The sequence below is a fragment of the Homo sapiens genome, chromosome 10 (genome assembly GCF_000001405.40).
Source record: "Homo sapiens chromosome 10, GRCh38.p14 Primary Assembly".
Lineage (NCBI taxonomy): Eukaryota > Metazoa > Chordata > Mammalia > Primates > Hominidae > Homo > Homo sapiens.
Window position 1 is genome coordinate 84847235 of NC_000010.11, and position 27173 is coordinate 84874407.

The 27173-nt window shown below is 36.6% G+C and overlaps 1 long non-coding RNA gene across 1 annotated transcript; it reads left to right on the forward strand.

Annotated features, from left to right (window-relative positions):
* On the forward strand, positions 1-27173 carry LOC105378400 (uncharacterized). Its single transcript, XR_946150.2, has 4 exons — positions 1-297; positions 1297-1967; positions 3902-3995; positions 27123-27173. It is a non-coding gene; the product is annotated as an uncharacterized LOC105378400 (long non-coding RNA).

A 27173-nucleotide genomic window follows, 5' to 3' on the forward strand; every position in this document is an offset into this window, starting at 1 on the left:
GTTGCCTCTCAAACTAGATCCCTCAGACTTCTTTGGAATTGTGCACCTACGCTGACTGGCTGGTAGGCACTTTTCTTTTAATGGGGCAGCTTAGGAAAGAAATCTTCATTAGATATCACTGTCTTCAAATGTCACGTGCTGAAGAATAAGGAATCATATTAGACTGACTTGCCATCTGAGGCCGGCTGCTGGGATCTGACTCTCCCCAAGAACACAAATCAATAGTCAACACAGAAACCACACTCCAAAGAGAAGCTGGTTCCAAGAGTGGCTATTACTATTTGCTTTCAATTGAATGTATGTATGTAGATATGTATGTGTTTATGTATTTGTTTATTTTTACCTAAATATGCCATTTTTGAGTTGTATTTTGCAGAAGAAACATATATATCTTGTATCATGGATATGACTGACTGTGAGATGGGAACGCTTTTTCAAACTAGACTGGGAACAGAGGCCCTGGTGGTCATGAACAATGTCAGGCGCATACAAAGAGCTGAAAGCCCATTCCAATCAAGTCTGTCTTTGCCCAACCCATTAGGCAGTCAAATGACAATTGAAAATCCAGTTCCCCACATTGAGAATCAAAGACTGGTGTCTCCTTGACTTCTGAGCCCAGGGCATCCTACTCTTTTTACTTTCCTTTTAAATGTCAAATCATAAGTAGGTCAACAGAAACCAGAGTGTTGTTACTTCTCCAGTTAAGTTTGGCTCATAAGAATGTAGCAAACTTTACTACATTTGGTTTTTAGCAATATTTGAAAATTGCATTTTATCGTTTGGATCTGCTAATTATCACATCTCTACTTGTGGCAAAGAAACTAACAATATTGATATGGAAAAGCACAGATATTGCTCGGCCTCACTGATTGAATCGGTGGGCGGTGGGGGGCGGTGGGCAGTAATCATACAGATTCCCAAAGTATGTATATTTTGTGGCCCTGGATAAAGATTATTCTAAGAAACCCCTTCTTGGTATAGTTACAGTAATTGTGGTAATTAGCACAGTAAAAAGAAGAAACATCAAGCCCTCATCAGATATCTGTCCCCACACAGCTCTTTCCTCTATTATCACACACTGCAAATGGTGGTTGGCAGAATGATTATACACATCATATGTATTAAAGTGGGAAGTGTTGAACAATGGTCAGAATGTAAGACTTAACATGGGGCCCAGCCACTAATTAACTGTCTGATCTTGGGAAAGTCATTTGTACAGCCTGGCTTTCAGTTTTACCACCTATAATATAAGAAAGCTGAACTAATTGATCACAAGTTTTCTTTTTGATTTTCCAGGTGCAAAGCCTCCCATTTTGCCTTGAGGACCATAGCAAATACCTCCTTTCTGGATGGACAAGGGAGACCCTTGTCAGCAAGAATTGTGCTACAGTCTCCCAGCCTAACCACAAGGACACACAAGGACTAGAACATTCGCTCTGCTTCTACACAGCATTGGCAAGAGTTTGAACACCTCTTTCTCAAACCAACAGCAAGAGTTGCCCAGGAAGTGCATTCACTAACATACTCCCCTAAATATTCTTGTGTGAAAAGAAGAGATATGTTGCCATGAATGGGTCTTTCAGTTGGTATTTGTAGGACTGCAAAGTTGCAAAGCTGGCAACATGGTAATAGCTTAGAGTGTTAAATTTTGTGATTTACTACTTGATATGGTAGCACAAAATTAGAACTACAAGAAGAATAAAGGCTTGGTCACCTTACCTGTAAGATCTACTAATGACAATAACTTTATAGAGAAAATTGCTCCTCTTTAAGCAATGCCTCATCTGACTTGATGCTCTCTGCTGCAGAAGGTGAAATTGCAACAATTACAAACTTGATCTTGGCTGTGACCCCTGAATTGACCTTTTGAAGGAACCTGGATTATGTCTGAATCTATTATCTCTGCAAGGAGACCAGCTGTCTTCAGAATTGCTTTTGGGGCCCCGTAATGTCATCGTGAAATTGCAGTTAGTAATCTTGCCAACAATTTCCAGATTTGGTGCAGATAAGCTTGAACACATTTGACTCTTTGGTTTCCAATGTTATTTAGAGAATTGGATGACTTAAAGCATTTATTTTTTTCAACTCAATTCTTATCATAATCCATCAACATCACTGTGTTTTTATTCTCTATTTCATTTTTATATGATCCTATTAGTTGAGAGAAACACAAGTGACATTTTTCTTTCCTATGGCCTTGTCTCCTTTTTGCCTTTGCTAGAACTCAGAGATCATATACCTTTTACTAAATTAGAATTCAGCCATATCCTCTGACCAACAATTTTCCTAGCACTGATCTTCTTCACTGAGTTTTGTTAGGGATGAAACAAAGGCAGTTCTTTCTGCTCCATGCAAATGACATTTGCAACCTGTCCCTAAATCACAGACCGGAAATGCTTCTCTTAGATGACTGAGGCTGATACTTTTGAAATGTGCTGCACTCCAGGTACCTTTGTGCTGTCTCCAGGAAAATGAAAGTGAGTTTTTGGATTGAGAGTGAGTCAAGCTTCCAAGCTGTTAAGGAGCATGGGTTTGATGTGGCTCCATCATGGCTATGTGGTAACTCAGCAGAAGTGTCATTCAGGATGTGTGAAGGGCATCAATCTCAGAGACTTGGCTGCCTCCCTTTAGGTTTCCAGATGAAACTGACACTCTTTGTTGTCAAGGAGCCAGTGGTGCTGAATGACCTTACACCAAAGGGGGTGCTGGCCTGCTTTGGGGGCATTTCTGCTTCTCCTCAATTGCTTGCCTCGATATAAGAAAGTTCACTGATCATGGGCCAGTATAGAAGTGCAGAATTTACTTTATCCATGTGGGGTCATATATAAATTCCAGATTCCTCCTGTACAATTTATTTTTTTGTTTGTCATAGCAGTAGACAGAAAAATGGTAATCAAAGTACCAGTCATTCATTCCAATTTGACAAAACACTCATTAAGACTCTGCTGCACTGGGATTGGTGAGGGGATTAAGAGATAAGACAACCCCTGTGTATTTGGTGCCATAACTTGAGTGGATTTGATGTGAGACATGCTGGGACTTAGTGGCATGTGGGGAAAGGGAAGGAGTCAAAGTGGGGAAAGGGAGGGAGTCAAGGCTGAAATTACGGATGTGAACTTTCTGTGGGATATCTCTCTCTCAACAGGTGGCCAGCATTGGATTCTATTGCATGGAAGGTATTCCAGTACCTTGTACTTAGTATTCAAACGAATGTAACTCTAGGCAAGGCTGATCTTTGATGTTCTATGTATGGGAATATCTTGAACTACATGATTTGTTCATGCAGACATGGCCCCTGCTACTAGTTAGGTCTAGTGAGCCAGGACTCTGTTTCCTGAAACAAGGACCAATGTGGGTTATATATATTGTTATCATCCTGTTCAAATAAGTAGGAGTTTGGGGCATGGTTTCATTGCAGTGATCACTCTATGCTCTTTCATATATTTACTTCACTTGGTTTCTGGTACACCAAATGCCTTGAGTTTTTTTTTTTTTTTCTCTTACCTTAATAGTCAATCTCCTCATTCTCCCTTACTGGTTCCTCATTCTCTCCTGACCTTTTAATGCTGGAATGCCCCTGAGCTCAGTACTTGATTCTCTCCTCCTTGTTGACACTCACCCCTTTATTCAGTCTCTTGGCATTAAAGGGCATCTATATCCTGACAACACTCAAATGTCCATTTCTAGCTCAGGCCTCTGTCCTGAACTGCAGACTTACTGAGCCTGCAGCCTAATCCGCATTCCACAGTGGCGTCTCAAACTCAACAGGCTCACACGGAACTCCTTTCCACCTGCTCCTTCTGCAACTTTCCACGTTGCAGTTGATGGCAAACCTGATCTTCCAGTTGCTCAGGGAAAGAAGCCATGAAGCCATGTTGATTCCTCTTTTTCTCGCACACAGGACATCCAATCTGTCGGGAAATGCTGTTGGCTCTCCATCTGGAATATATTCAGAGTTGAAGACTTTTCACCACCTCTTCTAATATCACCCTTGGGTGAGTTATCAACATCTCTGGCATGGAATATGCCAATAACTTCCTAATTGCCTCTTGCTCTGTCCCTCCTGCATAATTTCAATTCTATAGCCAAAATTATTCATATAATACTGAAACTGACCCTATAAACTTTATAAAATTAATCAGGGAAGAAGAGAGTGGGAGAGATGAAACTAAACTCAACTTGCAGCACACTCAGCATTAATCACTAGGTCAGCCTGTGCCCTGACCTGCTTCCTCGTGGTTGCCTGGTGCCTCCTGTCCTGGAATCACATAGATCCTAGATTATAGTTCCCTCTTAACGGTTCTATGGGTAACAGTTTGAATGTTATAAAACATTATCTTTGAGCTATTCCTTCAGGTCCTGCATACTGATGAAACTACTGACTCTGCTGGTCTCTAGGACCTCACAAGGAGCTGACTCACCTAAGAATGCAGTTTCCATGTCCTGATAATTTCATTCCCCGTACTGTGATGAATTAATAACCCCAATTTTCCAGCCTCTCACCTTCCATGATCCCCTTAAAAACCCTAGCCCAGAACTTCTTGGGGAGATGGATTTGAGGGTCTCCTCCCTTCCCCTTGCTCAGTACCCTGCAATCATTAAACCCTCTCTCCGATGTAAATCCTGCTGTCTCAGTGTAATTGGTCTGTTACTGCATAGCAGGCATACAAACCTGTTGGTCCTATAATAATACCTAAGCCAGTCATGCCACCCTTTAGAAACCTTGCAATGACACTATTTCATTCTCATTTAAAACCAGTGTCCTTATGAGAGACTAAATGGTCCAGTCTTAGTGACCTCTCAGACCTGAAGCCTTCAGGCTCAGTGGTTCCACTCCATCTCCCTGGCCCCTGCAGCCCTCAGACAGGCTCCTACTTGTCTCTGCACTGGTCATATCTTCCGTTTTCCTCCCGTTATCTGCATACTTACCTCCCTTACCTCCTTCTTGTCTTTACTCAGAGGTCACCTTCTTAATGTGCCCTGCTCAGATCACCCTATTTTAAATTGCAACCTGCATCCACCCTCCCCACCACCCTTCTTTGGCAGACATCCCTGATTGCTGGTACCTTGCTTGACTTTTTTTCTTTTTTTTTTTTTTAAACCATAGAAATTGTCATTTTCTAACTTACTATTTCTTCGCTTATTTACCGTGCTTATTGTTTGTCTCCTTTCGATCCTCCTCTCCTCTTCTCACAGTATAATGTAAAGTCCACGTGGTTAGGGATTTTTATTAATTTCCTTCACTGTTGTGTCGTAAGTGCATTGAGAAGGATGTAGAAAATGGTGGGCCCTCAGCACATTTGTTGAATCCAGAAATTCTGTGCCTTCATAATAAGTGTATTCAAAATAAGTGCCTTCATAATAAGTGTATTACTTTCAAATACTGGAAAATTCAGAGTTCCAGTTTAGAAGGAATTGGTCAATGGATTCCTAACTCACTTGTTTTTGCTCAGCCCTGGAATATATTCTGTCATATTCTACTGCAGAATTTCCATGTAATTTACAAAAATGACATCACTCATTCTCTTCCCTACCCTAGGAAAAAAGACACTGAGGGAGAATCAGACCCTTACTGAATGACTTACACCTCGTTTTGGTTATCTTAGGAATTCTTGGAAATTTCATTCTCCACATTAAACTAACATAAGCTATTTCAGCCCTGACATGCTAGGTTTAGACTATTTGAGATAACTGACTATCACTGAGATATGCCAGTTGAGTGAGCCACCTGAAGTCCTAGCACTCCTCTTCTCTGGCATTATCAGTGCCATGAAAAAGCCACTTTGTCACATCCTTCATTACAAAGACTTATGTAAGCGTCTTTCTCCCTGGAAAACAGAATCTTGTATCTTGCCCATTCCTTCATGTAGAACACCAAAAGGGCATGTACCCCAGTGCTTGGAAGCATCAGATTCAGAATTTCTTCAAGATGAATCAAGATAAGGAAATAACATTAACCCCAACTCTTCTCTTCTCTAAGAATAAAACAAAGTGAGACTGTACTGGTATTTAAGAGCAAATTCTCACATGACTTTGCACTTAGGGGGTGCTCCATTGGGAATTTCAAGCACTAAACAATACTTTTTTAAATATACTTAGGTTTTAATACTGTCAGGAATGCCTTTAATTATTTTTGACTCTCTGGCAACAGGAAGATTGCTGATTCTGATGGCCATTCTCTAAACTAGAATCTGCTCTAGCTGTTTGTATCTTTTTGGGTAATGGAAGACAGAAAAATACTTGGCGATGGCTTTGCAATACAAATGAAAGGAGAGAAAAATAGAACAGGCCCTTCCTGAACTCACGCTCTGCTTTTCCTCTGAAGACGTTTTTGTGATTCCTAACAATTCTCTCAAGACTGAAAGATAAAGATTGCATTGTAGATGTAGCAATCTTAATTAGTAAAATTGACAAGAAAATACTTATCTCTTTATATTGAATGACAGGAAAACACAACTTAGGGAATTTGTCACTTATGATTGAACAGAACCACATTTTAGTTTTACATATTTGTCTCAACCTGATTAGTTCATGAGCAGGTTTTTGTTTAGCTTCCTGGATCATGAATATTCTGAATTCTTAGCTTTTCTTATCAGCAAAGAAAAGCAATTTATAACATAGGGCTTGAACAAACAAAGTACTTCAGACTCTTTACAATTTTCCTGTTACAGAAGCTGTTTCTCTCCTTAGAAGGGAAATTCATTATTTTTAAAAAGATTTTTCTTGATCAAAGAGAGGTGATTTTATTATATTATTTTCTAATTTTCTTAGGGAACAGAAGATTTGTACTTCCAAATTTCACAATGCTAAGCTGAAGATATTTTTTCTATCTATATTTCGTTTCATAAAAGGAATCATTTAATAAAACAACTATCTCTTCTGAAAGAACACAAATATTTATCAAGCATTTTTCCATTATAAATATTACATACTCATACTTAGAACCCATTCATCTTTTGAAAGTTGTCAGTTTCATCCAATAATGTGAGGCATTTCCCCTTTCATGCACACATGATAGTGATTGATATTGTGTGATTTTATTTGTTACAGAAAATTTACCCAAAGCCTGTTCGGAGTTTCTCTGAGCATGAGTCATTAATCCTGTGTTAATTTCAAGAGTCTTATCAATAAATTGTATGTTTTGTATCTTTTTTCTTTATGTAATATATAGTCTTGAAAAATGTCTCTTTACTTTTGGTCTCCTAAGTGTTTTACTTCACTAATCTTGGGACATTAAGCATTATTATTATTTTTTTCAAATAAGACATTGTAACTTCCTCAAAAATGAACCTAAGACATTGATGACTTCATGCTGCTATTAGACGAAGTTTTCTCACAGCTGTAGGATGGTATTTCTGGGTCCCTGGGGAGCTGGAGAAAGGCTAGTGCTAGGGACTGATGCTGCTGACTCCTCTTTCTACCCTGGATAAAGATGTTGTACGTTCGCAATTGCAATTCTTGCTTAATAGGGTTCAGGAAGCAGGAAATCCTCAAATTTATAAATATTTTTTTCAAGATCCCACAATGACAGCCTGTGCCTGTTTTTGACCTGGGGCCACCACCATGCTTCTGTTAAGATTTGTATCCTTTGCCATGAAAGTTGGGAATTTATATAGGCATATGAGTTTATGTATGTGTGTTCTGTGCCCACAGATTCAAAATCCGTTTCCAGAGGTGGAATAACACACTAAGGTCTAGGAATTAATAGTGCTTGTTTCAATCAATCCAAATTTCAGATGCCTTGTCTTTGTATTTTCTAGTTATATTTTACTTATTAGCCACTTTGACTAAATCACTGTAGGTGCAGATTGACTTGTCCCAGCAGATAGTTATGTCGTCACTTAAATCCCCTCTATTATTTACTTGTACAATATCACCATGAGTAGTATTTCATTTTCAAACTTTTTAACAGCTTTATTGAAGTATACTTGATTTATAATCAACTACACATATAAAAAGTATACAATGTGATAAGTGCATGCATGCATATATCTATGAAACCATCCAGAAACCATTTTGCAATCAGGATAATGAACATATCCAGCAAACCTGAAGGTAACCTTCTGCCTGTTTATCATTTCATCCTCTGCTTTTCCAACTCCCTATTCCCAGGCAAGTACTGATCTGCTTTCTGTTACTGTAAATTACTCTGTATTTTCTGGGATTTAATATAAATGGAATGATATAGTATGCACTGTTTTTTATCTGGGTTCTTTCACTAACCATAATTATTTTGAGATGCATCTGTGTCATTGTGTAGTATATTAGTAGTTTTTTCATTCATTTTTATTGTTGAATATAATTTCATCATATGGACATACAGCAATTCTTTTATGCTGTGGATGGATATTTGTGTTGTTTCCTGTTATTGACTACCACAAACAAAGCTACTATTGACACTAATATACAAGTTTTTCTATGTACATATGCTTTAATTTCTCTTGGGAAATTATTATACCTCGAAGCAGAATGGTAGATATATGTTTAATTTTTTAATGAAACTGCCAAACCGTTTTACAAAGTGTTTCACATTTTACATTCAGAAGTGTGTGAGAGTTCCAGTTGCTCCACATCCTTGATAACAATTGTTATGGTCAGGTTTTTAATCTTAGACTTTCTAATAGGTGTGTAGTAAAATCTTGTTTGTATGTCTTTTATTTGAAAGATTTAAAGAAATCTTTCCTTTTCACTGTATTAGAGTTTGTATATTTTGGTTACATGTTCTATATCAGGTGTCTACCTGCAGAACTTGTCAATTCAGTATTATACAGGAGATTCTTTATGTGATTTGCAATTTTTTTTTCTCCCAGTCTGTGTAATTTGTCCTTTTATTATGTTAACAGTATCCTCTGAAGATCAGAAATTCTTAATTTTGATGAAATCCAGTTTAATGTGTTTTTCTATTTTGGATTGTGCTTCTTAGTTGAATCTAAGGAATCATATATATATATGTATATATATATATATATAATAGGCTCACTATTATATTTTGTTAGTCTACTTGTCTAACTCTTTCTTACAGTTTTTTTTGGGGGGTGCTATTCTATGTCCTTTGCATTTTCATATACATTTTAGCAACAGGTTTTCAATTTATACTTTTAAATGGTTTGCTGAGATTTTGGTTTGGAACACAGTAAACCTACAGATTTATTTAACACTAACTGAAATCTTAAAAATATTGATGAGGCAGGTGAATCACTTGAGCTCAGGAGTTTGAGACCACCTTGGGCACCGTGGTGAAATCCTGTCTCTATGAAAAAAAGATGAAAATTTAGCTGGGTGTGGTACTGCCCACCTGTAGTCCCAGCTACTCAGGAGACTGAGGTGGGAGAATTGCTTGAGCCAGGAGGTCGAGACTGCAGTGAGCAGTTACTGTGCCACTGCACTCCAGGCTGGGTGACAGAGTGAGACCCTGTCTCAAAAAAAAAAAAAGATACTGAATATTCCATTCCAAGGCACTATATGTATCTCCATTATTTAAATTTTTACATTTTCTCAACCAAATTTTGTAGTTTTCAGTGCACAGAGTTTACATGTATTTTGCCAGACTTATCCATGAGACTTTTATATTTTTGATGTAATTGTAAGTGATGCTATATTTTGTTTCAATTTCCCAATGTTTGTTGCTGGTATATAGAAATATCATTGATTTTTGCAAAGTAACTTTTTTTACTCTGCAATATTTTGTATCTCCTTTATTAGTTCCAGAAGCTTTTGTGTAGACTCCACAGAATTTTCTACATAAATCATAATGTCACTTGCAAATAAGACATTTTTACTTGTTTTGTAATCAAGATGCATTTAATTTCTTTTTCTTAACCTATTGCATTAGCTAGAGCCTCCTGAATAATATCAAATAGACAAGGTCTGCAGAGGGACATAATTTTAATTGTTCCTTTCTAATTTGGGTGCCTTTAATTTCCTTTTCCTGTTTTATTGTACTGGCTGGAAATTTCAGCACTATTTTGAAAAACAGTGATGAGAGTGAACATTTTTACCTTGTTTTTAATTTTAGACAAATTTTCAGTCTTTCAGCATTAAGTATGATATTACCTGTAGGTTTTTAGTACACTTCATTGCCCTATTGAAAACATTTCTATCCTACTATGCACAGGGTTTTTATCAGGGATAAATGCTGATTCTTGCCAAATGCTCTTTCTTCATCTGTTGAGATAATTTTTGTAAGTCTGTTATTACAGTGAATCACATTAATTGATATTAAATTTGAATAGACCTTGCATTCCTGTGATAAGCCTCATTTGGTCATAACACATTTTCCTGTTTGTGCATTATTGCATTTGCTTTACTCAAATTTTTGTTAAGTTTTATATATAAATTTATTAAATATATTGGTGTCCAACTTTTGTTTTTCTTATAATGTCTCTATCTGGTGTTGGTATCAGAGTATTGCTGACCTCATAGAATGTGCTAGAAAGTATTCTCTTTCCTTCAATTTTCTGGAAGGGTTTGTGCACAATTGTCATGATTTCATCCTTGAAGGTTTGATAAAATGAAATCATTAGTGCTTGGGTTTTTTTTTTTTTTTGGTGTGTGTGAATGTTAAAATTCCTCCAAATTGAATTTTTTAAAAAAATACAGGAATTTTAAAATGATCTATTTCTTCTTGAGTGGGTTTTTGCAGCTTGTGTCATTGCAGGATTTTCTCTCTTGTATCTAAGTCATTGGATTCATTGGCAATAACTTGTCAAAATATTTATTACCCCTTTAAAACATATAGTGATGTTATCTTCCTCTTTTCTAAAATTGGTAATTTATGTCTTCTTCCTCTTTCCCCTTCAGGCTAGTCTACCTAGAAGATTATTAATTTTACTGACTTTTTCAAATAAGCTTTTAGTCTTTTTTTTTCTTCTACTTGCCTTGAGTTTAGTGTGCTTATTTTTGTCATTTGCTAAGGTGAAAGCTTGAGTTATTATTTGTTCTTTAATTTTTTTTTTCTTTTATTATTATACTTTAAGTTTTAGGGTACATGTGTACATTGTGCAGGTTAGTTACATATGTATACATGTGCCACGCTGGTGCGCTGCACCCACTAACTCGTCATCTAGCATTAGGTATATCTCCCAATGCTATCCCTCCCCCCTCCCCCCACCCCACAACAGGCCCCAGAGTGTGATGTTCCCCTTCCTGTGTCCATGTGATCTCATTGTTCAATTCCCACCTATGAGTGAGAATATGCGGTGTTTGGTTTTTTGTTCTTGCGATAGTTTACTGAGAATGATGATTTCCAATTTCATCCATGTCCCTACAAAGGACATGAACTCATCATTTTTTATGGCTGCATAGTATTCCGTGGTGTATATGTGCCACATTTTCTTAATCCAGTCTATCATTGTTGGACATTTGGGTTGGTTCCAAGTCTTTGCTATTGTGAATAGTGCCGCAATAAACATACGTGTGCATGTGTCTTTATAGCAGCATGATTTATAGTCCTTTGGGTATATACCCAGTAATGGGATGGCTGGGTGAAATGGTATTTCTAGTTCTAGATCCCTGAGGAATCGCCACACTGACTTCCACAATGGTTGAACTAGTTTACAGTCCCACCAACAGTGTAAAAGTGTTCCTATTTCTCCACATCCTCTCCAGCACCTGTTGTTTCCTGACTTTTTAATGATTGCCATTCTAACTGGTGTGAGATGGTATCTCATTGTGGTTTTGATTTGCATTTCTCTGATGGCCGGTGATGATGAGCATTTTTTCATGTGTTTTTTGGCTGCATAAATGTCTTCTTTTGAGAAGTGTCTGTTCATGTCCTTTGCCCACTTTTTGATGGGGTTGTTTGTTTTTTTCTTGTAAATTTGTTTGAGTTCATTGTAGATTCTGGATATTAGCCCTTTGTCAGATGAGTAGGTTGCAAAAATTTTCTCCCATTTTGTAGGTTGCCTGTTCACTCTGATGGTAGCTTCTTTTGCTGTGCAGAAGCTCTTTAGTTTAATTAGATCCCATTTGTCAATTTTGTCTTTTGTTGCCATTGCTTTTGGTGTTTTAGACATGAAGTCCTTGCCCATGCCTATGTCCTGAAAGGTATTGCCTAGTTTTTCTTCTAGGGTTTTTATGGTTTTAGGTCTAACGTTTAAGTCTTCAATCCATCTTGAATTGATTTTTGTATAAGGTGTAAGGAAGGGATCCAGTTTCAGCTTTCTACATATGGCTAGCCAGTTTTCCCAGCACCATTTATTAAATAGGGAATCCTTTCCCCATTGCTTGTTTTTGTCAGGTTTGTCAAAGATCAGATAGTTGTAGATATGCAGCGTTATTTCTGAGGGCTCTGTTTGTTCCATTGATCTATATCTCTGTTTTGGTATGTTCTTTAATTTTTTAAATTTCAGCTTTTACCTTAGATGCAGGGAATACTAGTGTAGGGTTGCTACATGGGAATACTGGACCCACATAGTGAACATAGTGCCCAGTGTACACCATGAAATACTATGCAGTCATAAAAAAGAATGAAATCATGTCCTTTGCAGCAACATGGATAGAGCTGAGGGACATAATCCTAAGTGAACTAATACCAGAACAGAAAGCCAAATACTGCATGTTCTCACTTATAAGTGGGAGCACACATAGACATAAAGATGGGAATGACAGACACGGGAGATTGTGAGAGACGGGAGAGAGGGAGAGGAGTGTGAGTTGAAAGACTGTCTATTGGGTATTATGCTCACTAGTTTTTTTCTCTGTTGTTCTTCAGTTATTTCACTGTTTAACTCTAGTTTTTATGATTTCCTTACTTAGATTATTTTGTTTTTAATTTGTTCTTTTTTTAAAAAAGATAGAAGCTGTGATCATTGAATTGAGAACTTTCGTATTTTAAAATATCAGTGTTTAATGATAAACTGCCTTTAAATATAAATTTTACTCTGTATAGTCAAGATATACCACATGACATTATGGTATACATATAGATAGTAAATTGGTTACTATTGAAACAAAGTAACATATTTATCATCTGACATAGTTCCCATTTTTTTTTTGTTTCTGTGTCAAGAACAGTTAAATCCACTCATTTAGCATGAATCTCAAATACAGTATAATTTTATTACCCATAGTCCTCATGCAGTACATTAGACCTGGGGACTTGTTCATCCTACATATCTGTTACTTTGTATCTTCTGACTTCCATCTCCCCATTTCCTTCAAACCTCCTTCCATCTCCACCCCGGTAATCACTGTTTTGTTCTCTATCTCTGCATATTTGAATTTTTTTTAAAGATTCCACATATAAATGAGATCATACAATATTTTTCTTTCTGTGTCCAGCTTATTTACTATTTCACTTAGTATAATGTCATCCAGGCTTATCTATGATGTGGCAAATGGTAAGGTCTCATTCTTTATATATATTAGAGTTTCAGTTTCTTTATCCATTAATTCCTCAACAGACATTTAGGCTATTTCCACATCTTGGCTATTGTGAATAATGCTGCAATGAATACAGGAGTCCAGTTATCTTTATGATGTGGGAGGATTTAATTTCCTTTCGGTATAAACCCAGAAGAAGGATTGCTGGGTCATATGGTGGTTCTGTTTTTGATTTCTTTAGGCACTTCCATACTGTTTTCCATCATGGCTGTAATTTGATATGTTGTGTTTTCATCATCATTCAGTTTTAAACTACCAATTTCCCATTTCGATCTTTTTTTTACCCATGCATTATTTAGAAGCACAATTCAGAGACAGAATTAAATGCAAATGGGGGAATAAACACCCACAGTAGAGCTTGCTCTGGAGCCCAGCTCAGTGTGGACAGTCAGGCAGAAAATCAATAGGAAAGAGTCGAGTGCGGCAGGTCACAGTGGCAAGGGACACTGATAACATTATTTCCAGAAAGAGGATTTCACCATGAGTGAGAAAATATAAAACAGGTCAGAGTCCTCATAAGTTGGAGTACTGATTACTGAATAATTTAAATAAACAGACTTGAAAATGTTCAGAACCAAAGAGGTAATCCTGGAAGACCCTGTTCTACGGAAGAGGTGGTAGCTAGAAAGAGAGAAGCATCTCTGGGTGGGTTGGTGGTAAACGAAGAAGGAAGCAGGTAGAGGGAATTCACAATTCTATCAAAAAGAAAGAGAACTGATGAATCAGAAGACATTTTAACTTTCTTCATTCATGATTTTATCTCCAACAAAATTCTCTCTGTACCAAGAGAGAAGGATGCTCTTGAACTAGAAAACCTAGTAGCCTCTCTAAAAGTTTTTAATCTTCCCATCTAGAGGGGGATCAGTTGCTGATCTAGAAAAATAGAAGACATTTTAAAAGGAAAGAATGGCAGAAAAAAGGCAGAAAGTCATACAAGCATAAATAGAAAATAGAAAGTGAGATGCAATATCATTAAATAAATGATAATAAAACATTTCTCTAAAACAAAAATGAAACAAAAAAACTGTAACATAATACTCTAACAAAAATTAAATACTATTAAACAAGAATATGCAGATATTAAAGAGCTTCTTTATTCCAAATGTAAAACTTTGAGTTAAAATTAAAAACCCAGAAGAAAAATGACCCAAAAAATGTTAAAAGAAAAAGAAGTAAAATAAGAACTGATCAACTTCAGGACAGAATTTGTAAGAAAAGGACAGTCTAAGAAATGAAGAATAAATAATATGTTTCCATGGGATAATGAAGTGAAATAATAAAACAGAATAATAAGAAATAAATACAATTAAGATAGTGGTTAAAAAGATCAGAAAAAAATACAAATGGAAGACAGGCAAAGAAGATCCAAAATACCTATTATTGGAATCTCTGAAGCAGAAAGACAAAATATGAAATGAAACTAATATTTACAACTGTAATTTAAAAAGTCTGTAAATGAAAGAGATCCTTATCTGTATATCAATATTTTACCCTGTATGTTTGGAAAGTGAACCAGTAATGTTCAACTCTGAGATATATCCTTGTGAAACTTTTACAATTTAAAGGTCAGGATAAAAAAATATCCTCTGGGCCCCCAGGCAAAAAAGATCATACAGCCAAGAAAGGAAATAAAATCATTTTGGCATCAGAATGCTTTCCAGCAACCTGCAAAGCAAGAAGAAAGAGGAAAAATGAATTCAAGAAACAGAAGGAAAGAAAGTGATAGCCAAAGCCTTTATGTCCAAATACACTGTTCTCCAAGCTATCAGAACTTTAAAATTTTTTTTTAAATATTCAAAACTCCAGGAATACCATCACAGAGCTCTTCCTGAACACACTCTGAGAGATAAGCTTCAGCTTTACCAAGAGTGATAGGGAGTTTTTCAGCAAAAGGACAGTGAGGACCATGAGCATTGAACCTGCTCCAAGGAAGGTCCAGGCTCTGCTTTGCTTGACCTCTAAACCAGCTTGACTTTCAGAAATGCAGCTCAGATGGGCAGACCTAGGATCAACCAGGCAGGGATGTGAGTGTAGGCTGTGTGCAAGCTGCTCAACTGTTAAAAAACAAACTAAAAACATGTTGCTCATTTCAATAGGAAAATATGTTCTCCATGGATTCCTTCCACAGCTGTGGCTGCTTAAGATAACAGACAGTCCAATGACAGTAATGAAAAGCACAGAGGGCAGAAAGCTGCAACCTGCCCATGAACATTTGCAGAGGAGAATTTGTGAATTTGAGGCATACAGGCAGGAGCAGACTGTCTTGTGTAGAGAAATCAACAAAGAAGATGAGAGATTCTAATTGTTTTCGGCATTCTTCCCTTGGGTATTTGAATCTCTCTATTGGTTGACAAAGACAACATTCTGTACCCTTCCATATTATGTTAAATTTGTGGGAGGATGTGCTCTTTGGGTTTCATAAACATCCGAAGCCCACATAGCATTTTTTTTTTGGTGCTGGTAATAGGAAATGGGCATCCCTGAATGGTTTTAAGGATTTCCTCCCTCTGTTTAACTTCTGGTAATATAAACCCTACTATGTAAAGCTTGTCCTTCTACTAGAAGAATTGGCATCATCAGGGAGCTTGTTAGAAACATGAATCTGTCTGCATTTTTAAAGTGTGTCTCAAACTAGAATATACATCAAATTATCTGGGGATCTTGTTAAAAAGCAGATTTTGGTTCAGAAGTCTAGGGTGGGGCCTGAGATTCTGTATTTCTAACAAGCTCTCAGGTGATTTCATTGCTGCGGGCCCTTGTACTACACCAGATTACTTATGCTCAACTCCCTTCCTGAGTATTTGTTAAAGAATCTTTTCTGATATCCCGTGGCAAACTAGTGTCCTGTGTTTCTCTATAAATATCTAACAAGAGTAGTAAGGTACCATAACTGGAGAGACTCTCCTGCTACTCTTCCGAGGACCCAGGCCTAGGTATTGTATGCTGTGGTTGTTCTAGACTAGATTTCCCTTTGCTGGTATTCTTAGGAGGTCACAAAGGGTCACAAATCACATTAGCCCATAGCTGTCTTGAAGTGTTTAATAATCTTGTTTATTGCATAGATTTAAGAGAGGGCTGGCTCTTAATATATAGGAGAATTTATTTTGCAAGACATCAGTAGGAGTATAATCAAGAGTAATCTCACAAACATAAAAATAGGGCTTTTTTTTTTTTTTTTTTTTTTTTTGGTCAGGGTTTTACTTGCATCACCCAGGCTAGAGTGCAATGGTGTGATCTCGCCTCACTGCAACCTCCACTTCCCAGGCTCAAGTGATTGTTCTGTCTCAGCTTCCTGAGGAGCTGGAACTGCAGGCACACACCACCACACCCAGCTAATTTTTGTATTTTTTTGTAGAGACAGGGTTTTGCCTGGTATCAAACTCCTGAGCTCAAGTGATATGTCCACCTCAGCCTACCAAAGTACTGTGATTACAGGCATAAGCAACCGCACCAGACCCAAAATAGGGCTTCTTGATCTTGATTGTTCATTATAATCATATGGGGCCTTTACAAATGCTGTTTTCTAGGCCTCACCTCAGAGACAGTGAATCAGCATGGGGGTAGGTAACAGGTGTTTGCATTTTAAAAACTTTATGGGGGTTGTCTGGGCGTGATGGCACACACCTACATTCCAGGTACTCAGGAGGCTGAGGCAGGAAGATTGCTTGAGCCCAGGAGTTTGAAGTTACAGTGAGCTATGATTGTGTCATTGCACTCCAGCCTAGGCAACAAAGTGAGACCTTGTCTCTAAAAAATAAATAAGTAAACAAATGAAAATAAAAATTTCATGGGCGATTTTGATGCATAGTCACTTGAGAACAAAGCTCTGTGTAAACAATTCCCCTAGAGTTGTATAAACTGGTGGTACAAGGTCAAACAGATGACAAAGGGGCAAAGATAGCAAGAATACAGAAGATTCAAATGGCCCAATTAACAAGTTCAATTTAATGGAGAAACAGAACTGTGCACTCAGTAATTGGAAACTACACATTTTTTCAAACATACATTAATAATTACCAAAATTGTACATGTAATGGGGTATTAATCAAACCTCAACAAATGTAAAAGAATGATCAGTACACAGATCATATTTCCTATCAATAATGCAATTATATTAGATTTCAACAATAAAAACTTTTTTTTACTGAAAAAGCCCTACATGTTTAGACATGAAAAATACACACTTCTAATATACACAATTTGACTTAGGTCAAAGATAAAATCATAATAAATATTAGAAAATGTTTAGAGTGGAAAAATGAAACCGCTAAATATTGAAGTTTGTAAAATGCAGATAAGCGGTAATTCAAGAGAAACTTGAAAGTTTAAATGCTCATATTAGGAAAAAAGAAAATTTGAAAATCTATAAACTAAGAATCCAACTTAAGAAATTTGAAAGTGAATATCAAACTACAGACAAAGAAAAAGAAAAAAGAAATACAATGCATAGTTAGTTTTTTAAAAACTCACTTGAAAATGTTCAGAAAGATTGAATAAAGAAATAAAATCAGTATTAAGAATAAAAAAAGGAGGGCATGCCAAAATATATAATAGAGATTAAAAATTAATAAGGTCACACAATGGTACTTTATAAACTTGAAAAAGGAAGCAAAATTACTAGAAAGTAGAATTCATTAAAATTGAGTCAAAAAGGAAAAAATAAATTAACAAAATTAAATCAGAGACTAAAAAATATCTACACTGAAAATGCAAAAACAAAAACAACGGCAACAACAACAAAAGACTGACAGTTTTGCATTTGAATTCTACCAAATACTTAAGTAACAGACAATTCTAAGAGTATACATATTCCATTAGAGAATATAATCTTATTTTATAGGAATAATAACAAAGCCGTGTGAGGACAGTATAAGAAACAAAATTATAGGCCAATCCCACTCATGAATTGGGAGCAAAAGTCTGAAAAATTTTTCAAATAAATTCTTAATATATAAAAAGATAATGTATCATATCTGATATGAATTATCCACGAAAGCATGGATAATTTAACATTAGAACACCTGTTACTGTATTTCACCACATTAAGGACTAAAGGAGAAAAACACGTCAATAGATACAGAGAATCTATCCGTACTATTCACATGTAGTCAGTAATAAAATCCCTAGAAAACTAGTAATAGATGGAAGCTCCTGAATCTCATAAAGGATATCTATCAATAACTGATTGCATGTAAGTTATTCACTTATAAAAATCTAGAACTGTTTCCTTTAAAATCAGAAGCAATATACGTAGCTTTCAGTGTGCCTCAGCCACTTGGAAATAGCCAAATAGCATGTAAAGATCAACTCTATGACACTTAATTCAAGAAGGAAAATGGAAATTCACCAGGATAGTGAAGGACACATCAAACCTCGTGAAGAGAAGGTGGCAAAGCAGCCACTCTACGGTGTTTCGCTTACAAAGTGAGTGAAGCCTCAGTACATGAGAGGAGTAGCCACTCTCCCGGTGTGGCTCTCACTTTTCACTAGGGATCGGTGCAACCCAGGCCAAGGGAGAACACCCTGTTTCTCCCAAGCCCAGGAATTAGCATGGGGAAGGGCTGAAAGACACAGAGAGGGAAAGATAACTAGGAAAATCTGCAGGCATTTTCCCAGACATAGACTGAGAGAAGGACGCCATTTTTAATCTGGGATCTTACAGTCAATGTTTGGCAATGGTGGCCACTGCAGACATTTTAGTCTTCGGCCAAAGATTAGAGTGCTTGCTGTGTAGCAGGGGAAGGACCCCCACAGTCAGAACTGAGTGGCGAATGTGGAGAGTGCCCCAGCAGTAGGCATGGAATTGGGCTCTTTCCTGTTGCAGGACTGGAATGGGAGGAGAGTTATGGGAGAGAGAGAGAGAGATGGGAGATAAAGCGATGATTCTCCTGGGTGGTGTGACTTGGAGTCAGGGACAGCTTTGCCACATGGAACCAGTCTGCATGTGTCATTGCTGGGCACCCCAGTCTGCTCCCTTGATCATTTGTGGGAGAGTGCTCCACCAGCTCTGTGGAGAGGGAGGGAGGCAGATCCCATTTGCTTTGAGATCCAATCCTTGTGAGGACAGCCCCTAAGGGTGTGGGGGGAACAAAACCCACCAAAGCCCAAGGAAACAAGAGCACAGCACCAGCTGCTAAAGGGTGCAAAACCAAAGGCCAGGAACAGACTTGGAGTGGGGGTCATCTCTTGACCCCAGCCCTCCTGGCAAATGCACTGTTGTGGATGTGGCAGCAGCTCTTCTCATTAGATTTCTAGGAGTGTGGGCTGAAAGAGGCACTTATTGGGCTTTTCCAGTTGCTCCACCTCTGCTGAACACCAGCTGTGCTGGGGGGAGGGTGATTTTTGACTTCTCCCTTAGCACCCCCATCTGGACTGAGGGTGAATAGATGCAGAGTAAGTCTCCAACTGTCTCTTACTCTTAAGTCCCATGCACTGGACTGCAGCCTGTATTACACCATCAAGCAAAAATATATTCCTACACCAAGCAATGTCTGAGAAAGCCAACATGGTAAACTCTCTGAAACCAAGGAACCCATATAGAGCTGTGGGCCTCTGAGAGTACTCAGAAATGAAGCCTATCAATCATATACAACATACACCACAGTCATACCCTCAAGAGAAAAAAGGATAAAAAAATCAAAAAGTCCCATCCAAATGATAGCAAATTAAAAAAAGAAATGTCAGCTCCCTCAGATAAGAAGGGACCAGTGCAAGAACTCTGAAAATACAAAAAGTCAGAGTGTTTTGTCACCTCCAAAGGAACACAATAGCTTCCCAGCAATGGATCCTAATCAAAATGAAATGTTTGAAATGACAGATTCATAACTCAGAATATGGGAGGCAAGAAAACCTAATGAGATCCAAGAGAAAGCTGAAATCCAACACAAAGAAAACAGAAAAATGATCAGGATTTGAAAGATGACATAGCTATATTAAGAAAGAATCAAACAGAACTTCTGGAATTGAAAAATTTACTATAGGAATTTCAAAATACAACAGACTAGAGAAAGCAGAAGAAAGAATTTCAGAGCTCTGAGACCAATCCTTTGTATCAACCCAGTCAGACATGAATAAAGATAAAAGAAACAAAAGAATTAACAAAGCCCTTGAGAAATATGGGATAATGTAAAGTGATCAAATCTACCACTTACTGTCATTCCAGAGAGAAGAAGATAAATTCAACAACTTGGAAAACATATTTGAAGATATAATTCAGGAAAATTTCCCCAGTTTTGCTAGAGAGGTTGACATGTGGACACAAGAAATCAAAAGAACTCCTGTAAGATACTATACAAGATGCATCCCCAAGGTACATAATCATCAGACTATCCAAGGTCAACACAAAGGGAAAAATCTTTAAGGTGGCTGGAGAAAAGGGCCATATTACCTATAAAGGAAAACCTGTCAGACTAACAGCAGACTTCTCAGCAGAAACTTTACAAGTGAGAAGAGATTGAGGGCACATTTTTAGCATTCTTAAATAAAATAAATGCCAGCCAATTACTTCATTTCTCATCAAAATAAGCTTCATAAATGAAAGAGAAATAAAATCTTTCCTAGACAAGCAATTACTAAAGGAATTTGTCACCACCAAACTGGCCTTAGAAAAGGTGCTTAAGGGAGTTCTAAACATGGAAGCAAAAGAATGACACCACAAAAGCACATGTAAGCACATAGTCCACATGCTTTATAAAGCAACTACACAATTAAGACCACAAAGCTATTAGCTAACAACACTACAACAGGTACAAAGCTTCACATATCAACATTAACCTTGAATGCAAATGGCATATACACTACATTTAAAAAATATAGAGTGGCAAATTGGATTAAAAAATCTTAATCTTTCTACTGTCTTCAAGAGACCTATCTCAGATGTAATGACCCAAATAGGCTCAAAGTAAATGGATGGGAAAAAAATCTATCATGCAAATGAAAAATAAAAGAAAAAGCAGAGGAGGTCACTACTCTTGTAATAGTTAAAATGGACCTTAAACCAACAACAGCAAAAAACTGTTGTGGGAGAGTGCTCTCACAGAAGGGCATTATTACACAATGATAAAGAGTTCAATTCAGTGAAAAATTTAACTATCCTGAATATATCTGCACCCAACATTGGAGCACCCAGGTTCAAAAAACAATTACTTATTGACTTAGGAAAAAGATTTAGAGAGCCAAACAATAATAGTGTGGTCTTCAACACCCCAGTGACAGCATTAGACAGATCACTGAGGCAGAAAATTAACAAAAAAATTCTGGATTTAAATTTGACACTTGACCAATTGGACCTAATAGACATCTACAGAACACTTCACCCAACAACCACAGAATATACATTATTCTCATTTGCACACAGAACATGCTCTAAGATTGACCACATACTTAGTTATAAAGCAAGCCTCAATAGATTAAAAAGAAGAAATCGTATCAAGCCTATTCTCAGACTACGGTGGAGTAAAAATAGGAATCAATATCAATAGGAACTTCAAATTCACACAATTATATAGAAACTAACCAACCTGCTCTTGAATTAGTTTTGGATAGACAACAAAATTAAGGCAGAAAGCAAAACACTCTTTGAAATGAGTACATCTAAACAAGGAGGTAAAAGGTCTCTAGGAGAGACACATCATACCAAAACCTCTGAGAAATTACAAAAGTAGTATTTGGAAGAGAGTTTATAGTGCTAAATATCTACATCAAGAAGATAGATCTCAAAATAACAACCTAACATCACACATAGAAGAACTAGAAAAAAAAGAAGAAACTAATACCAAAACCCACAAAAGAAAAGAATTAACTAAAATCAGAGCAGGACTAAATAAAATTGAGATAAAAAATACACAAAAGATCAATAAAACAATAGGCTGATTCTTTGAAAGCACATACAAAACACTGATGGCTAGATTAACAAAAAAAGAGACAAGATCCAAATTACTACAATCAGAAAGGACAAAAGTGACAACTTACAACTGATCCCACAGAGACTATTCCAAACACTTCCATGCACACAAACTAGAAAATCTAGAGAAAATGAATACATTTCTAGAAACATACAACCTCCCAAGATTAAATTAGGGAGAAATTGAAATTGTGAACAAATAATGAACTCTGCAAATGAATCAGTAATAAAAACTTACCAACCAAAAAAAGCCCTGGACCACATGGATTCATGGCTTAATTCTACCAGACATACAAAGAAGAGCTGGTACCAATCCTACTGAAAACCAGTATCATCCTGCTACCAAAATCTGGCAAAGACAACAAAACAAAAACACTACAGGCCAATATCCCTGATGGACATAGATGTAAAAAATCCTTGCTGGGGGTGGGGATTACACCTGTAATCCCAGAACTTTGGGAGGCCAAGGGGGGTAGATCACCTGAGGTCAAGAGATCCAGACCATCCTGGCTAACATAGTGAAACCCCGTCACTATTAAAAATACAAAAAAATTAGCTGGGTGTGGTGGTGCACGCCTGTAGTCCCAGCTACTTAGGAGGCTGAGGCAGGAGAATCTCTTGAATCCGGGAGGTGGAGGTTGCAGTGAGCCGAGATCGCCCCACTGCACTCCAGCCTGGTGAAAGAACTGGTGAAAGACTCCGTCTCAAAAAAGAAAAAAAAAATCCACGACAAAGTACTAGCAAATTTAATCTAGCAGCACATTAAAATGTTAATTCACCACAAGCAAGTGGGCCTTATTCCTGGGAAGCAAGGTTGGTTCAACATATTCAAATTGATAAATGTGACTCACCATAAACAGAACTGAAAGCAAAAACCATATGATCATCTCATTACATACAGAAAAAGCATCTGATACATCAAATATCCCTTTGTGGCAAAACCCCTCAACGAAGTAGGCATTGAAGGAACATACCTCAAAATAATAAGAGCCCTTGTGACAAACCCACAGCCAACATCATACTGAATGGGCATAAGCTGGAAGCATTTCCCTTAAGGACTGGAAAAAGACAAGGATGCTTATTCTCACCACTCCTATTCCGCATAGTACTGGAAGTCCCAGCCAGAGCAATCAGATAAGAGAAAGAAATAAAAGGCATCCAAATTAGAAAAGAGGAAGTTAAATTATCTGTCTTTGATGATGGTATGATTGTATACATAGAAAATCCTAAAGATTCTGCCAAAAGACTCCTAGACCTGATAAAAGTCTTCAGTAAAGTCTCAGGATACAAGATCAATTTACGTAAATCAGTAGCATTTCTATATACCAATAAAATTCAAACTGAGAGCCAAATTAAGAAGGCAATCCCATTTACAATGCTCACACAAAAAATAAAATACTTAGGAATACATCTAACCAAGGAGGTAAAAGATCTCTGCAAGGAGATCTACAAAACACCACTGAAAGAAATAAGAGATAACATAAACAAATGGAAAAACCTTTCATGCTCCTGAATTGGAAGAATCAATATAGTTATAATGTCCATATTGCCCCAAGTAATCTACAGATTCAACACTGTTCCTGTCAAACTTCCAACACCATTTTTCTCAGAATTAGAAAAAACAATTCTAAAATTCATATAAAACCAAAAATGAGCCTGAATAGCCAAAGTAATCACAAGCAAAAAGAACAGAGCCAGAGGCATCATATTACCTGACTTCAAACTATACTACAAGGCTACAGAAACCAAAAGAGCATGGTCATGGTGCAACAATACACACACACAATAGAACAGAATAGAGAAACTAGACATAAAGCCTCACAACTACACCCAACTGATCTTTGACAAAGGTGACAAAAATAAACAATGGGGAAAGACCTCCCTATTCAATAAATGGTGCTGAGAAAACTGGCTAGCCATATGCAGAAGAATGAGATTGGCCCCTCCTCTCTCACATATGTAAAAATTAACTCGAGATGGATTAAAGACTTAAATGACCAAACTATAAGAATCCTAGAAGTAATCCTAGAAAATATTCTTCTGGACACTGGCCTAAAGAAAGAATTTATGACTAAGTCCTCAAAAAAATGCAACAAAAACAAAAATGGACAAGTAGGACCTAATTAAACTAAAGAGCTTCTGCCCAGCAAAAGAAACTATCAATGGAATAAATGGAAAAGCTACAGAATGGGAGATAATATTTGCAAATTATGCATCCAACAAGGGACTAATATCCAGAATCTAAAAGAAACTTAAACAAATCAACGATAAAAAACTCCAAATAACCCCTTGAAAGGTGGGGGAAGACATAAACAGGTACTTCTCAAAAGAAGACATACAAGCAACAAACAAACATATGAAAACATGCTTATGATCACTAATCAGCAGAGAAATGCAAATCAAAACCACAATGAGATACCATTTCACACCCGTCAGAATGGCTGTTATAAAAAAATCAAAAAATAACAGATGCTAGTGAGGCTGTAGAGGAAAGGGAATGCTTACACACTATTGTTGAGAATGTAAATTAGTTCAGCCTCTGTGGAAAAAAGTTTGGAGATTTCTCAAAGAACGAAAAATAGAACTACACTGTCACTCAGCAATTTCATTACTGGATATATACCCAAAGGAAAATAAATTATTCTACCAAAAAGACACATCCGCTCCTATGTTCAATTCAGCTCTATTCACAACATCAAAGACATGCAATCAACCTAGGTGCCCATCGACAGTAAACTGGATAAAAAAAATATGTGGTACATATGCACCATGGAATACCACACAGCCGTAAAAAAAACAAAATCATGTCCTTTGAAGCAATATGAATGCAGCTGGGGGCCATGATTCTAAGCAAATAAACAAAAACCCAGAAAACCAAATACTTCACGTTCTCACTTAGAAGTGGGAACGAAACATTGGACACCCATGCTCATAAAGAAGGGAAAAAGCAGACACTTGAGACTAATAGAGGGTACAGGGAGGGAGGGGAGCAAAACTTGATAAACTTCCTTTTGTGTACTATGTTCACTATTTGTGTGACAGGATCAATAGAAGCACAAACCTCAGTATCACAAAATATACCCTGTAACAAACCTGCACATGTAACCCCGAATCGAAAATAATAAAACAGATATCAACTTAAAACAATTGTGTTGAGATAGTTGATTGTCTATATGGCAAATAAAATTAGATTCATTAATTATACAGTTCACAATGATAAATTCTAGTGAATTAAATACTTTAATCAGACAGGAAGTGTTTAAAAAACTTCTAATAAGAAATATGAGAACATTATGAATTTGAGTTAGAGAAACATTTTTTAATCAAGACACAAAAAACACAAACTGTAAACTTGATTGACTGCAGTAAGATTAAGAAGAACATAAAGAGGAAGAAAAGACAAGTTATAAACTAGGAGAAATTATTTTTCATAGATATAACTAACAAAATATTAGTATCAGAAAATGCAAAGAACTCCCCAAACTCAATATAATTTAAACAAAGAATTCCATAGCATGAAATAATGAACAAAAGATACAAATAGATTACAGAAAAGGAAATGCAAATAGCTAATAAAATATGAAAATATATCCAAACTCAGTAGTATCTAGGAAATATGTATTAAATACAATATAATTTATATCTTCCTGAATGGCAAAAGTTAACGTCAAATGATGCGAATAACTGGTAAGAATGTGGAGCAATGCTAATTCTTATATACTGTGGAAGGGAGGTTGATTTGGTAAAACCACTTTGGAGAAAACTTTGGCATTATCACTTGATCTTAGCCAAAAGGCCGAGAAGCGATAAAAATTTGGTATTATCTAGTGAAACTGAAGATTAGCCTTTCCGTATGCCCTGAGCATTTCTTACAGAATGGGAGCACCTTGTGCACATGCAAGAGGAGCCAGGCACGAGGATCCTTCACAGCTGTGTTATTTGTAATATCAGGAAATTGTAAATGAATATCAATTCAGAGGCAAATGAAAATATGTTATGATTATACAAAGAAATATTATAATACTACAGCAAAAAAGAAATATATTACTTAGATGTATCTCCAGAAAAAAGAAGCTCCAGAAGAACCCATTTGGAACAATATAACTTTTGTAAATTAAAAACAAAACAAAACAAATAAGAGTAAACAAAATATTAGGATATGCACATATATTAAAACTGTGTAGAAAAGCAAAGCTGTGGTAAATACAAAAATTAGGAATATGAGAATGTAGTTACCTGTAGGTGGGAGAGAGAAGGATACAATTGCCGATTTTCATATACAAAATGTTCTGTTTCTTAAATCTGGTGGTGAGTTCATGGGTATCTAACTGCTATGTCTTATCTCTTTCATATGTGTAATTATTTAAATATAAAACATATTTGAAGATAAAGTATTAAATAAATGACTCAGTCAGTTATATTTCTAGGTTTTGTTTTGTTTTAAAAAGCAGCTCCAAAGCTAATGCAAAACATGTTATGCCAATTTTTAAGGCAGGTAGAATGAGTCAGAGTGTAATGTTCCTGCCCTTACTTAGAAAACAAATCCATTAAATATCTATAGTAAAGGCCTTCAACAGTCCGCATTTAGTTAAAAGTCAATAGATTGCTTGTTTTTGAACTCTGAACCTAAATTCTCCTCCTAATCACATTAATTTAATTTCCTGAGACATTTTCTTTTTAAAATAATTGTTATTGTGTGTATTTAAAGTATACAACATGATGTTATGAGATACATGTAGATAATAAAATGGTTACTGGAGTGATGCAAATTAATATAGCCAACATTGTGGCTTCTAAGCCACATTTACTTGTTTTTTCTGTTTCTCTTTCATTTCAGGACACTTTGATGGCTCCCTACATCAGTCATGGAACATAGGAACCACGCTAG